The sequence below is a fragment of the Homo sapiens genome, chromosome 7 (assembly GCF_000001405.40).
Source record: "Homo sapiens chromosome 7, GRCh38.p14 Primary Assembly".
Classification (NCBI taxonomy): Eukaryota; Metazoa; Chordata; class Mammalia; order Primates; family Hominidae; genus Homo; species Homo sapiens.
In genome coordinates, this window is record NC_000007.14 from 149,139,341 (window position 1) to 149,152,990 (window position 13,650).

At 47.8% G+C, this 13,650-nt stretch overlaps 1 protein-coding gene and 1 long non-coding RNA gene across 7 annotated transcripts in view, besides 10 other annotated features; one reads left to right on the plus strand and one right to left on the minus strand.

Annotated features, from left to right (window-relative positions):
* Positions 1–13,650, plus strand: part of ZNF398 (zinc finger protein 398) — a 56,635-nt gene that overhangs the window by 12,933 nt on the left and 30,052 nt on the right. The window contains exons 1-2 of one of the 5 annotated variants that reach the window (XM_011516439.3): positions 9,072–9,176; positions 11,867–11,942. The exons of 1 other annotated variant lie outside the window; for it this stretch is intronic. In XM_011516439.3, coding sequence (XP_011514741.1) covers positions 11,904–11,942 — 39 coding nt within the window. In that variant the 5' untranslated portion in view covers positions 9,072–9,176; positions 11,867–11,903. Of the gene's footprint in view, positions 1–8,112; positions 8,944–9,071; positions 9,177–11,634; positions 11,943–13,650 lie in introns of those variants that run through there. 3 more of the 5 variants (XM_011516440.3, NM_170686.3, XM_047420661.1) reach the window with 3 other exon arrangements.
* Positions 3,624–8,021, minus strand: LOC107986856 (uncharacterized). Of its 2 annotated transcripts, none has more exons than XR_001745398.3 (2): positions 7,763–8,021; positions 3,624–7,012 (listed from the first exon to the last, which is right to left on the minus strand). It is a non-coding gene; the product is annotated as an uncharacterized LOC107986856 (long non-coding RNA). The 2 variants fall into 2 exon arrangements; XR_007060581.1 differs by having other exon boundaries at positions 7,643–8,021.
* Positions 5,743–6,316: an enhancer, noted in NCBI's record as "OCT4-NANOG-H3K27ac hESC enhancer chr7:148842175-148842748 (GRCh37/hg19 assembly coordinates)". NCBI's record gives its function as "activates a minimal SCP1, AML or CMV promoter by ChIP-STARR-seq in naive and primed H9 embryonic stem cells {active_cell/tissue: H9 hESC(naive and primed)}" and the evidence as "EXISTENCE:reporter gene assay evidence [ECO:0000049][PMID:30033119]".
* Positions 6,317–6,890: an enhancer, noted in NCBI's record as "OCT4-NANOG-H3K27ac-H3K4me1 hESC enhancer chr7:148842749-148843322 (GRCh37/hg19 assembly coordinates)". NCBI's record gives its function as "activates a minimal SCP1, AML or CMV promoter by ChIP-STARR-seq in naive and primed H9 embryonic stem cells {active_cell/tissue: H9 hESC(naive and primed)}" and the evidence as "EXISTENCE:reporter gene assay evidence [ECO:0000049][PMID:30033119]".
* Positions 6,891–7,464: an enhancer, noted in NCBI's record as "H3K27ac-H3K4me1 hESC enhancer chr7:148843323-148843896 (GRCh37/hg19 assembly coordinates)". NCBI's record gives its function as "activates a minimal SCP1, AML or CMV promoter by ChIP-STARR-seq in primed H9 embryonic stem cells {active_cell/tissue: H9 hESC(primed)}" and the evidence as "EXISTENCE:reporter gene assay evidence [ECO:0000049][PMID:30033119]".
* Positions 7,558–7,607: an enhancer, noted in NCBI's record as "active region_26809". NCBI's record gives its function as "activates an Ori minimal core promoter by ATAC-STARR-seq in GM12878 lymphoblastoid cells {active_cell/tissue: GM12878}" and the evidence as "EXISTENCE:reporter gene assay evidence [ECO:0000049][PMID:35858748]".
* Positions 7,918–8,557: a silencer, noted in NCBI's record as "silent region_18748". NCBI's record gives its function as "represses an Ori minimal core promoter by ATAC-STARR-seq in GM12878 lymphoblastoid cells {active_cell/tissue: GM12878}" and the evidence as "EXISTENCE:reporter gene assay evidence [ECO:0000049][PMID:35858748]".
* Positions 7,918–8,612: a biological region, named in NCBI's record as "H3K27ac hESC enhancer GRCh37_chr7:148844471-148845044".
* Positions 8,039–8,612: an enhancer, noted in NCBI's record as "H3K27ac hESC enhancer chr7:148844471-148845044 (GRCh37/hg19 assembly coordinates)". NCBI's record gives its function as "activates a minimal SCP1, AML or CMV promoter by ChIP-STARR-seq in primed H9 embryonic stem cells {active_cell/tissue: H9 hESC(primed)}" and the evidence as "EXISTENCE:reporter gene assay evidence [ECO:0000049][PMID:30033119]".
* Positions 8,222–8,393: a silencer, noted in NCBI's record as "fragment chr7:148844654-148844825 (GRCh37/hg19 assembly coordinates)". NCBI's record gives its function as "represses an EF-1alpha promoter that drives an FKBP-Casp9 reporter gene in an ReSE screen in HepG2 liver carcinoma cells {active_cell/tissue: HepG2}" and the evidence as "EXISTENCE:reporter gene assay evidence [ECO:0000049][PMID:32094911]".
* Positions 8,688–8,837: a silencer, noted in NCBI's record as "silent region_18749". NCBI's record gives its function as "represses an Ori minimal core promoter by ATAC-STARR-seq in GM12878 lymphoblastoid cells {active_cell/tissue: GM12878}" and the evidence as "EXISTENCE:reporter gene assay evidence [ECO:0000049][PMID:35858748]".
* Positions 8,978–9,027: a silencer, noted in NCBI's record as "silent region_18750". NCBI's record gives its function as "represses an Ori minimal core promoter by ATAC-STARR-seq in GM12878 lymphoblastoid cells {active_cell/tissue: GM12878}" and the evidence as "EXISTENCE:reporter gene assay evidence [ECO:0000049][PMID:35858748]".

Sequence of the window (13,650 nt, forward strand, 5' to 3'; positions counted from 1 at the left end):
AAACCAGTGTACCTGGTCTATTGTTACTGTGTGAATACCTACTTTTAAATTTAGGTATTCTAAATTCCAAATGTAACTTAAAGTATTAAATCTAATGATGTGCCGGGCGCGGTGGCTCACACCTGTAATCCCAGCACTTTGGGAGGCTGAGGCGGGCACATCATGACGTCAGGAGTTCGAGACCATCCTGGCCAACATGGTGAAACTCCGTCTCCACTAAAAATACAAAGATTAGCTGGGCGTAGTGGCACATGCCTGTAGTCCTAGCTACTTGGGAGGCTGTGGCAGGAAAATCACTTGAACCCGGGAGGCGGAGGTTGCAGTGAGCGAGATCAGCCACTGCACTCCAGCCTGGCAACAGATAAATAAATAAATAAAAATTTGGCCGGGCGTGGTGGCTCACGCCTGTAATCCCAGCACTTTGGGAGGCTGAGATGGAGGGATCACGAGGTCAGGAGATCGAGACCATCCTGGCTAACACGGTGAAACCCTGTCTCTACTAAAAATACAAAAAATTAGCCGGGCGTGGTGGCGGGCACCTGTGGTCCCAGCTCTACTCAGGAGGCTGAGACAGGAGAATGGCGTGAACCCAGGAGGCAGTGAGCCGAGATTGCGCCACTGCACTCCAGCCTGGGCAACAGAGCGAAATCCATCTCAAAGAAAAAAATAATAAAATAAAATAAAAATTTAAAAATAATAAAAGTAAAATCTGATGATGTGCTTTAATGTTCAAATCCTAGCAGTCAGTTGAAGTATATATGAATATATATTTAATACTGCAAAAGTAAAATGCTATAATAATTATTGAGGATTACGAAAGATGTTATTTTATGTAATAAACAGGAACTTTCAAATAGTTACATACATTGACAGTATATTTAGAGCGTGTTATCTAGATAACTTTAGAAAGAACATTATGTTCTTTTTGAGCCTACAGATGTTTATAAAAATATAATTCTACCATAGGGAAAGAGAATTAACATTAGACATAATAATTCTAGTTACTATGGAATTATTTTGCACAGTTGCATTCATAACAGTACATAAAATACTTTTTTTTTTGAGACAGAGTCTCGCTCTGTTCCTCAGGCTGGTGTGCAATGGCACCATCTCAGCTCACTGTAATCTCTGCCTTCCAGGTTCAAGCGATCCTCCTGCCTCAGCCCCCTAGTAGCTGGGATTACAGGCAAGTGCCACTATGCCCGGCTAACTTTTGTATTTTTAGTAGAGACGGGGTTTCATCATGTTGGCCAGGCTGGTCTCAAACTCCTGACCTCGGGTGATCCACCCGACTCGGCCTCCCAAAGTGTTGGGATTACAGGCGTGAGCCACCACGCCAGGCCCATAAAACACCCTTTAGAAACGAATGTTTAACAATTTTGTTCCATTCTGTCCTTTCAAAAAAAAAAAGATCCCTGGCTGTGCGTGGTAGCTCACACCAGGAATCCCAGCACTTTGGGAAGTCAAGGCAGGAGCATCCCTTGAGCCCAAGAGTTGGAGACCAGCTTGGGCAACATAGCAAGACCTTCTCTCTACCAAAAATTTAAAAGTTAGCCAGGTGTAGCAGGGTGGGCCTGTAGTCTCAGCTACTTGGGAGGCTGAGACGGGAGAATTGCTTAAGCCAAGGAGGTCAAGGCTGCAGTGAGTCATGCTTGTGCCACTGCACTCCAGCCTGCGCGACAGAGGCACAGCCTGTCTCAAAAAAAAAAAAAAAAAAAAAAAATCCCTATTTGGTAATTTTTCACACATTAGGGAGAAAAAAGCAGTGTCAACTTGGTCACCTCAAAATTTCACAAGGAGGGAGAATCTCATCTACAACACATATATGATAAATCATCTTTAAATCATCTTTGAGTCATGATTAAAAATTTTTTTAAAAGAGAGTATGAAGAAAAAGAGAAAGTTTAGATTAAAATGGGGCACTCCAAATACAACTGTTCTCTCTAATCCACAGACTTTTTTTTTTTTTTTTGAGACAGAGTTTCGCTCTTGTGGCCCAGGCTGGAATGCAATGGCACAATCTTGGCTCACTGCAACCTCTGCCTCCTGGGTTCAAGCGATTCTTCCATCTCAGCCTCCCGAGTAGCTAGGATTACAGCTACTTTTCTTTTTTTTCTTTTTTTTTTTTTTTTGAGACGGAGTCTCACTCTGTAGCCCAGGCTGGAGTGCAGTGGCATGAACTTGGCTCACTGCAAGCTCCGCCTCCCGAGTTAATGCCATTCTCCTGCCTCAGCCTCCTGAGTAGCTGGGACTACAGGCGCCCGCCACCACGCCTGGCTAATTTTTTGTATTTTTAGTAGAGACGGGGTTTCACCGTGTTAGCCAGGATGGTCTGGATCTCTTGACCTCGTGATCCACCTGCCTCGGCCTCCCAAAGTGCTGGGATTACAGGCATGAGCCACTGTGCCCGGCCTAATTTTTGTATTTTTGTAGAGATGGGGTTTCACCATGTTGGCCAGGCTGGTCTTGAACTCCTGACATCAGGTGATCCACCCACCTCAGCCTCTCAAAATGCTGGGATTACAGGCGTGAGCCACTGCGCCCGGCCCTAATCCACAGACTTTAGAGCATGCTTTTAGTAAGACAAGTTATCATAGGTTGGCATCCATGAAGGCTGTTTTTGTTTAAGACAGGGTCTCGCTTTGCCACTCAGGCTGGAATGCAGTGGCACAGTCATGGCTTACTACAGCTCCAAACTCCTGGGTTCAAGCAATCCTCCCACCTCGACCTCCCAAAGTGTTGAGATTACAGAGGTGAGTCACCGTGCCTGGACTAATGTTTTTAGAGCTTGTAGAGATAATTGCTATAGACTGGTAACCATTTTCGGTTGAGATTTCCCCAAGATCTTATTCTAAATATTGATTTATTTTAGGAAACATTCCTAAAATATTTTTCCTGATTCATTTTCTGCTGTGCACCAAAAGGTTAATGAAATATTAAAAATGCTGCAATAAAATATTGAAAATGTCTTATATACCAGATATATACTGTATATATCTGTATATGTACCAGATACTGTATATATCTGGTATATAAGATATTTGGGGCTGGGAGTGGTGGCTCACGCCTGTAATCCCAGCACTTTGGGAGGCCGAGGCGGGCGGATCACGAGGTCAGGAGATCGAGACCATCCTGGCTAACACGGTGAAACCCCGTCTCTACTAAAAATACAAAAAATTAGCCGGGCGTGGTGGCAGGCACCTGTAGTCCCAGCTACTCGGGAGGCTGAGGCAGGAGAATGGCGTGAAGCCTGGAGGCGGAGCTTGCAGTGAGCCAAGATCGCGCCACTGCACTCCAGCCTGGGCAACAGAGCGAGACTCCGTCTAAAAACAAACAAACAAACAAAAAACCAGATATTTGGATATGAAGAATCACGCTTAACTTTTTATGTTTGACCATACAGAGGAGCAATTATTAATTCAACTGGGTTTCCATTTTCCCTACTTAATGAAAAATTCCTAGGTCTCAGTGAATCTGACTTTGAGAAAAATTTGTGGAATGTAAAATCAGTAAACGGAAACGCACGAACGTCGAATTTCCCATGGAAAAATACAGTAAAGGCTATGAGCACAAGCACACTATAGTTTGTTCCCATCTTCAGTTTTACATTCAGAAAACAGGTATAGCTTCATGTATGTTATTTTATTGATCGATGATTGATTAGTATAGTGGCATGATCTCGGCTCCCTGCAAACTCAACCTCCCAGGCTCAGGTGATTCTCCCACATCTAGCTTAATGTATTAATGATGTAATAGACAATTACTGGCCAGGCGCGGTGGCCAGAGCGAGACTCCATCTCAAAAAAGAAAAGAAAAGAAAATTACTGGCGGCAAGCAGGAACATTGTAGATTTTGAAACTGTCTTGTTTTACAAGATACTGAAGCAAGGTGGTGCAATTATTACGTCCTTCTAAAGCTGATCGGATAAAGGCTTTAATTTTGTAATTTTCAGAGAATATTACCAATGTAGCAAGATTTACCAATAACCAATGGTTGCTTGAAGACAAAAGAGTTTGTTGGAACTTGCTGAATAAATTGATGTGCCATCAGTGTATTTTTTACATCATACATGCTGAAAAAAATCTGTCCTTGATTCTGTGCAAAGGAAGATGCTGAAATTGGTGTGCATATGCAGGGAAAGTCAAGATGCAGATGGAAACTGGGATTATTTTGTTAACTCAAAAACCAATTGGCAGGGTGCGGTGGCTCACGCCTGTAATCCCAGCACTCTGGGAGGCCGAGGTGGGCAGATCACCTGAGGTCAGTAGTTCGAGACCAGCCTGGCCAACATGGTGATACCTCGTCTCTACTTAAAATACAAAATTAGCCCCCATGGTGGCGCATGCCTGTAATCCCAGCTACTTGGGAGGCTGAGGCAGGAGAATCACTTGAACCCGGGAGGCAGAGGTTCCAGTGAGCAGAGATTGCGCCATTCCACTCTAGTCTGGGCAACAAGAGTAAAAACTCCATCTCAAAAAACAAACAAACAACCCCCCAAAAAAGCCAATTAAATTGTTTCATAGTCACATTTCTAGATCCAAACTTTTAGGACAATTTTTTTCTCTAGTGATTATGTATAGCAGCAAGAGCAGACAAAAATATTATAAATTAAAAATAAGTTAGTACAACAACCTTACATCTGCTTCTGAAAATATTGTGCATCTTCTTTAAACAGTACACAAAAAGCTTCAGTCAGTGAAATTGCTTAATGAAATGCCAGTACCATCCAAAGAATTTTTAAGGCCAAGAATTAAATAGGAAGAATTTCTTGTCTTAATATATTCCTATTCAAGGAAGGAACATTTAATAAGTTGGTGGTAATATTACCATATTAAAGCAGAGAGGTAGCCTTGCTTTCTATGGAGCTCAGTTGGAAGTCTTATTTAGTAATACAAATGTCCCTGTTAAATGGCCATAGGAGCATCTGACAGAAATTGTTGTTCTTGCCTTATAACATCAAACTTGAAAACTTTACTACTTTTTTTTTGGAGATGGGATGTCAGTCTGTCGCCCAGGCTGGAGTGCAGTGGTATTATTACAGCTCACTGCAGCTTCAACCTCCCTGGCTCAAGTGATCTTACCTCAGCCTCCCGAGTAACTGGGTCGACAGGTGTGCATTACCATTTCAGGCTAATTTTTGTATTTTTTTATGGAGACAGGGTCCCACCAGGTTGCCCTGACTGGCCTTGAATTCTTGGGCTCCAACAATCTACCCACCTCGGCCTCCCACTGTGCTCGGCTACTACATTTTTTTTTTTCTTTTTTGAGATGGAGTTTCACTCTTGTTTCCCAGGCTGGAGTGCAATGGTGCAATCTCCGCTCACTGCAACCTCCTCCTCCTAGGTTCAAGTGATTCTCCTACCTCAGCCTCCTGAGTAGCTAGGATTATAGGCACCCACGACCACGCCCGGCTAGTTTTTCTATTTTTAGTAGAGATGGGGTTTCACCGTGTTGTTCAGGCTGGTCTCCAACTCCTGACCTTAGGCGATCCACCCACCTCGGCCTCCCAAAGTGCTGGGATTATAGGCGTGAGTCACCGTGCCCGGCTTCTCGGCTACTACATTTTAAATAATAAAATTATACAACAGAATTTTCTTTCCAAGAAAATTCAGATTATTATTTTTTTGTAATCTACTCATATTGTGAGTCAGAGAATGGCAATTTTCATTATTAAGCATTCACCATCTGACAAATATGTATATTCAGGTAAATCCCAAATTACGGACTGCATATGTAGCCACAGGCGAAAAGTAACTTAGTCTGCTCAAGAGCAGTTGCCCCAACAGGATAGTTCTCATACTTTTGTGATTTACAGATAGTTATACTGTTATGGGCATTGACTTGATTCATGTGTTGAAATACAGGTTTAGCAGGGTTTGATTCATACATGTTTGAAATGAAGACTTCCTGGAAAACCAGGGTCATGTGCTTATCCTATCACCACACACATGAAACCGCCCCAACAGGGTTCACAAAAATTGCATGCAGGTTCTGGACAGAAATATAGTTATAATTAAGCATTAATCAGGCTGCACTTCGGCCTACTTCCTTGTTGCTAATAGTCACAAGGCACTAGATACTGACATTTGCATCTCTATTGTTCCTATAGATAGGATTTCAGACATCAGACTAAGAATTGATTTGCATCCCTGTTGTTCCTGTAGACAGGATCTCTGACATTAGAATCATAAGGCTTTTGTTTAAGGATCGCTTAAGATGTTTTTCAGACCACGAGTTCCGGTGAAACAGTTGAGTTCAACCAGTTTGAAGACCCCCCACAGAGGAATGGGATGAGCATGAGAATGTAGTTTCTTCATCTCCTTGTACCACGATTTCACCAGCACTCTCCCACCAATCAGTCAACTCCATTACCCTTACAAACTCTAACCCCAAATTCCCAAATTCCTAGCAGAGATGGATGTGAGGCTTCTTCCTGTCTCCTCCTTAGGTGGCCCTATGATTAGACCTCTTTCTCTGCTGCAACCTGGTGTCTCTGCATATAGACTTGCTATGTGCATTGGGCAAGGAACCTACTGCTGTTACACACACTCTGTTGACTTAAAACACAACCTCACCAGAAAACACTTTGTTCTCGCAGGTCCTTTTTTTTTTTTTTTTTTTTTAAGATGGAGTCTAGCTCTGTCGCCCAGGGTGGAGTGCAGTGCTGCCATCTCTGCTCACTGCAACCTCCGCCTCCTGGGTTCCAGCGATTCTCTTGCCTCAGCCTCCGGAGCAGCTGGAATATCAGGTGCACGACACCACGCCCGGCTAATTTTTGTATTTTTTAGTAGAGACGGGGTTTCACCATGTTGGCCAGGCTGGTCTGGAACTCAGGTGATCTGCCCGCCTCGGCCTCCCAAAGTGCTGGAATTACAGGCGTGAGCCACTGCGCTCGGCCTGTTCTCGCAGGTCCTTTTGCTCAGACGCAGCAAACCGTAACCCCAAGCTCGATCTCTGCTGCTCTCAGGAATTCCACTTCCTCCAGCTTGGGCAACATAGCGAGACCCTGTCTCTACAGAAAAATAAATAAGTAAATAAATAAATACAAATAAATAAAACATTAGCCGGGCTTGGTAGCTGCGCCTGTAGTCCAAGATGCTCGGGCAGGCTGAGGGGAAGGATCGTTTGAGCCCAGCAGTTTAAGGCTGCAGTGAGCCTTGTTTGTGCCACTTGCACTCCAGCCTGGACGACAGAGGGAGACTGTCTCTAAATAAATCAATAAATAAGGCCGGGCGCAATGGCTCACGCTTGTAATCCTAGCACTTTGGGAGGCCAAGGCGGGTGGATCATTTGAGGTCAGGAGTTTCAGACCAGCCTGGCCAACATGGTGAAACCCCGTCTCCACTTAAAAAAAAAAAAATTAGCTGGGCATGGTGGTACATGCCTGTAATCCCAGCTACTTGGGAGGCAAAGGCAGGAGAATCGGTTGAACCCGGAAGGCGGTTGCAGTGAGCCGAGATCCCGCCACTGCACTCCAGCCTGGGCGACGGAGTGAGACTCCGTCTCTAAATAAATAAATAAACAAAAATTAAGAATCCTATTTCCAGACCAGGCCCCGGAGAGTCAATAATCCGAGATGTGAAGGAGACCTTAAAATATTATTGATCCCAACACAGGCCGCGTGGGACCTGAACCGCCTCACCTTGGCAACCACATTTGTAATTTCCGCAAATGATCTATATCTTCTTCATTCCAAAATTGTGCCTCTCCGTCACTCATTCCACCCATAGGCTCCCTTCAGCCGTGTCCCCCTTACTCTCACCCTGCACATTTCCGCTGTTCTAAATACGGCTGCCCTTCAGCAGAAGCTGTTGCCTGCAGACGGCGCCTGCGTATCGAGCCTCCGTGAAGAAAATCACTCCCCAGAATGAGCCCGGCTTTGCGGCTGGGTCCTAAACTGCGGTGAGCTGAACCTTCTCGTGGGAATGTGAGAAAGCGGAACACACGTGGGCCCCAAATAACAACCCTCCCCACACCGAAGCCCAAGAGCTGGGGGGGAGGGGCGGAGGCGACGCGGGGGGCGCTGGCCGCAGGGGCCGGCAGGGGGCGCGCTGGCCGCGGTGGCTGGGCAGCGCGAGCCTGCGGCGCGTCTAGGCCCGCGCGGTTCCCGGTGCACTCGCTGCCCACAAAGCGCCAGCTGAGGGGCCGCTGCGGGTGGAGTGCGGCGGAGTCGGCCTCGCGACCCCAGCTTGATCCGCCGCCTGCTGCACCGCGCCTCCGCCGCGTTCCTGCGCGTCCCGAGCCCCGACGGCCGCGTGAGTCCCGTCCGTGCGGGGAAGGCAGGGCCGGGTCGGCGCCGCCTGTGGAGAGGACCCGGCGGCCGGGCCTGCTTGGAGCCGGGCGCGGTGGCAGCGGCGGCAGCGGCGGCGACTTCCGAGGCCCGGGCTAGACAGCGCAGGGCCATGGCTGAGGCGGCCCCGGCCCCGGTAAGGGCGGCCGCGCGCGAGTGTTGTGAGCCCCCGAGACCCAGACCCCGAGGGAGGAAGGCGGGCGGGCAGGGAGCTGCCAGGCATAGGCGCCGTTCTCGGGTCCCGCCGGCCACGTCGCCTGTCGCCCGTGCTTGGCGGCTGCAGCCTCGCGTGAGGGGACTTAGCGGGTGGGTGTGAAACCGCCCACCCGGGGACACCAGGCTGGGCCGCAGGTCTGAGGGGCACTCGCAGGCAGCTATGAGACCCGGGGCCCTGCAGTTGGGTTGAAGTCGAGGGGGTGCCTGCTGCGTGTCAGCCCCACGCCTGCCCGCCAGACGCGCAGCGGGGTTGGGCTGGGGAGCCGTCAGCCATTCTCGCGGCCGCGGGAGCGTTCGTCACCAGCAATCTGAGCGGTGGCGCGGGCGGCATTTAAGTGTGCGGAGGCGCATTCCCGCCGCGCTGCGTGACGCCTGGGCTCCCGGCACCGGACTCGGGACACGCGGGAGGCCCTCCCGAAATAGCTGCCGAATGAATGGTGCGGACCCGGAGGCTGGAGTGGCCTCGCGTGCGTGGCGGTTCATTCGCGGGTGTTTGCCAAGGCCTGCGGGGGCCGGCAGCGGCCAGTTGCCAGGGCGACCGAGGCGACCGGGCCGCGCCTGCACGCAGCCCCGTAGAATGAGAAGGGGACGGTCAGGCCGCGGGGAAAGCACTGATCGCATTTGCCACCCAAGAGGTCTTTGGTCACCTCTAGGAGAGCAATTGTACTGGGTCAGGAGCCACCCTGGCACATGAGGGGTGACTGGGAAAAGGAGGAAGAGCAGCGATGGGTAGGGGGTAGAGCAGAGGGAAGTGCCACCTCCACTCTTGGACCTGTTTTTCTTTTTTCCAACCTTTTTTTTTGTGTATAGGTGGGATGGTAGCGATGATCCTGTGTTGTGCCAGTCCTGGCTAATAGAAATATAAGGGAAGCCGCATACAAAACTCTAAATCAAGCTTGTCCAACCCGCGGCCCCCAGGCCGCATGCGGACTAGGACTGCTTTAAATGCGGCCCAACACAAATTCGTAAACTTTCCTAGAACATCATGAGATTTATGCACGGACCTTTTTCTTTGTCTTTTTTTTTTTTTTTTTTTTTTTTTTTTAGCTCATCAGCTATCATGATCAGTATTTTATGTGTGACCCAAGACAGTTCTTCCAGTGTGGCCCAGGGAAGCCAAAAGATTGGACACCCCTGCTTAAATTCTCTAGGCGTCACGTTTAAAAAGTAAAAAGCCAGGCGCTGTGTTGTGCACGCCTGTAGTCCCAGCTAGGCCGGGGGCTGAGGCGGAAGAATCACTTGAGTCCAGGAGTTCGAGGCAGTCCACACCGCGTCTCTAAAATAAAAAAAATTTTTGAGAAGTTAAAAAATAAATAGATGAAATTAATTTTAATTATATATCTAACTCAATATATGCAAAATATTATTTCAACATGTCATCAATTTATTTATTTATTTATTTTTTGAGGTGGAGTCTCACTCTGTCCCTCAGGCTGGAGTGCAGTGGCGCCATCTGGGCTCACTGCAACTTCTGCCTTGCCGGTTCAAGCGATTCTCCTGCCTCAGCCTCCCGAGTAGCTGGGACTACAGGCGCGTGCCACTACGCCCGGGTCCTTTTGTATTTTTAGTAGAGAGGGGGGTTTCACCGTGTTTGCCGGGATGGTCTCAATCTCCTGACCTCGTGATCCGCCCGCTGGGATCCAAAGTGCTGGGATTACAGGCGTGAGCCACCGCGCCCGGCCTCATGTAATCGATTTAAAACATTAATGGCCGGGTGTGGTGGCTCAAGCCTGTTATCCCAAGCACTTCAGGAGGCTGCCGTGGGAAGACAGCTTTAGCCCAGGAGTTGAAGACCAGCCTGGGCAACATAGGAAGACCCCATCTCTACAAAAAAAATTTTTTTTTTTAAATTAGCCAGGCGTGGTGGCATGCACTTGTACTCCCAGCTACTCAGGAGGTGGGAGGTGTTTGAGCCAGGGAGGTGGAGGCTGCAGTGAGCTGTGATCCTGCCACTGCCCTCCAACCTGGGCAACAAAGTGAAACCCTGTCTCAAGCAAACAAACAAATATTTTTTTCATACTAAGTCTTCAAAGTCTCGTGTATTTTATACTCATAGCACATCTCAATTTAACCACATTTCAGGTGCTCAGTGGCCACATGTAGGTAGTGGCTACTGTATTGAACAGTGCCAGTCCACCCTATGGAGAAGAATCAGGAGACAGATTGACACTAAGAAAGGAACAACCTACCCAAAAAGGTGGAAGGGGTTGGCATAAGTGAAGCAAATGTGGAGAGTTAAGATTTAAATAGGATGCAACTTCCTTAGGAAGTAAAGAAGAAAACTTAGATTCGGTTACTGATAAGTTTGAAGCAAGGAGTATGAAGAGAAAGTTGAATGAATTTAGGTCTGATTAATTTCCATCTCAAAGCAAGAGGACATGTCATCTTCTGAGAGTGGGGGCTGCAGCAGACAAGTCTTACTACTCAGTGTCAGCATCACCTGGGAATTTGTTAAAAATACAAAATCTCAGGCTGTGTACCATGGCTCACACCTGTAATCCCAGCACTTTGGGAGGCTGAGGCAGGTGGATCACTTGAGCTGAGTAGTTTGAGACCAGCCTAGGCAATATGGTGAAACCCTGTCTCTACCAAAAATACAAAAATTAGCAGGGCATGGTGGTGTGTGCCTGTGGTCCCGGCTACTCGGGAGGCTGAGATGGGAGAATCGCTTGAGCCCATGAGATGGAGGTTGCGGTAAGCTGAGATTACACCACTGCACTCCAGCCTGGGTGACAGTGAGACCTCATCCCAAAAAAACAAAAACAAAACCCAACAGAATCTCAGTTTTCCTTACAGACCTACTGAATAAAAATCTGTACTTTGACAAGATCTCCAGGTGATTCTTCCCCGCCTCCCGCGCCCCCCCGCCTCCCCTCCTGCCCTAGACAGAGTCTTGCTCTGTCACCATGCTGGAGTGCAGTGGCACGATTTCAGCTCACTGCAACTTCCGCCTCCTGGGTTCAAGTGATTCTCTAGCCTCAGTCTCCCGAGTAGCTGGGATTACATGGCTTGCCACCACACCCAGCTAATTTTTGTATTTTTTAGTAGAGATAGGGTTTCACCATGCTGGTCAGGCTGGTCTCAAACTCCTGACCTCAGGTGATCCACCTGTCTCAGCCTTGCAAAGTGCTGGGATTACAGGCATGAGCCACTGTGCCTGGCCCCTCCAGCTGATTCTTATTCATGTTAGTTTGAGGACAAACTGTACTAAAAGCTGAAGGACTGTGCTGAGGCTTTGTAGTAGCCACTTTATGGAATGGGACAAGCGGCATGGAGGGCACAAGTCAGTGTTGAGATCCCCACTAAGCTTAGAAACCATTGGTATGTGGTGACAGCAGTTTACCTGGTGATTTCCTCTAGGCACGCTTACTAATCTGCTTACAGGAATGGAGAAAGAATGATTGGACTGATTCAAGGCCGGAGGTTAGCTGAGCAGGTGAGGCAGAAAGACATGAGAGAAGGGGAGTTGGAAGTGACTGATGTGATCAATTAGAGAAAAAAAGCCAGGAACGGGCAGATACCAGGAGCAAATGGAATGGTCAAAGGACTAGGTGAAATGAGAATAAAGTAGTGGGTGAGTTGGAAAGATGGGAGGTTGTCGTCAGAGAGTGGCTTATCAGGTTCATAGAGTTAGAAGGCTTTGTATACATCATCCTAGTCCAACTTATTTGTTGTGGGAATTTTTTCCTTTTATACTACTCTTTGTTTCAAAGTAAATTATTTTGGAGCAGCCTTTTATTTTCTTGGAAAGATCAATAACCCAGGAGTTATAGGTTACAAGGAGCTATGGTCATGTCAGTGCACTCCAGCCTCGGTGACCCTGTCTCTAAAAATAAAAAAATAAAAAAAAAATTAAGCTATAGAAGACATCCTGAGGTGGCTGGTTTGCATGCAAGCCTATTTATTTATTCATTCATTCAACAAAAATTTCTTTCTTTTTTTTTCTTTTTTTTTTTTTGAGACTGAATCTCGTTCTGTCGCGTAGGCTGGAGTACAGTAGCAGAATCTTGGCTCACTGTAACCTCTGCCTCCTGGGTTCAAGCAATAAGTGGATAACATTTAAACTATCCATCTTAGACTTTAAAATCATATATAAAATAATGTGGCCGGGCACGGTGGCTCACGCCCGTAATGCCAACACTTTGGGAGGCCGAGGAGGGCGGATCACGAGGTCAGGCTAACATGGTGAAACCCCATCTCTACTAAAAATACAAAAAATTAGCTGAGCATGGTGGCACGCTCCTGTAGTCCCAGCTACTCGGGAGACTGAGGCAGGAGAATCGCTTGAACCCAGGCAGCGGAGGTTGCAGTAAGCTGAGATGGCACCACTGTACTCCAGCCTGGGCGACAGAGCGAGACTCTGTCTCAAGAAATAAATAATTAATTAATTAATAATGTGATTTCCCTTAAAGATTTCTTTTTTTTTTTTTTTGAGACGGAGTTTCACTCTGTCACCCAGGCTGGAGTGCAGTGGCGCGAAGTTGGGTTGCTGTAAGCTCCGCCTCCTGGGTTCACGCCATTCTGCTGCCTCAGCCTCCGAAGTAGCTGAGACTACAGGCGCCCGCCACCACGCCTGGCTAATTTTTTCTATTTTTAGTAGAGACAGGGTTTCACCGTGTTAGCCAGGATGGTCTCGATCTCCTGACCTCGTGATCCACCCCCTCGGCCTCCCAAAGTGTTAGGATTGCAGGCGTGAGCCACCGCGCCTGGCCTAGATTTCTTTTTTTTTTTTTTTCTGAGACGGAGTTTTGCTCTTATTGCCCAGGCTGGAATGCAATGATGCGATCTCGGCTCACTGAAACCTCGGTCTCCTGGGTTCAAGCGATTGTCCTGCCTCAGCCTCTGAGTAGCTGAGATTACAGGCATCTGCCACGATGGCCGGCTAATTTTGTATCTTTAGTAGAGATGGGATTTCTCCACGTTGGTCAGGCAGGTCTCGAACTCCCGACCTCAGGTGATCGGCCTCTCAAAGTACTGGGATTACAGGTGTGAGCCACCCACCGTGCCCAGCCTCTTTTTTTTTTTTTTTTTGAGACACAGTCTCCCTCTGTTGCCCATGCTGCAGTGCAGTGGCATAATCTTGGCTCACTGTAACCTCCACTTCTCAGGTTCAAGCTGATTCTCCTGTCTCAGCCTCCCGAGTA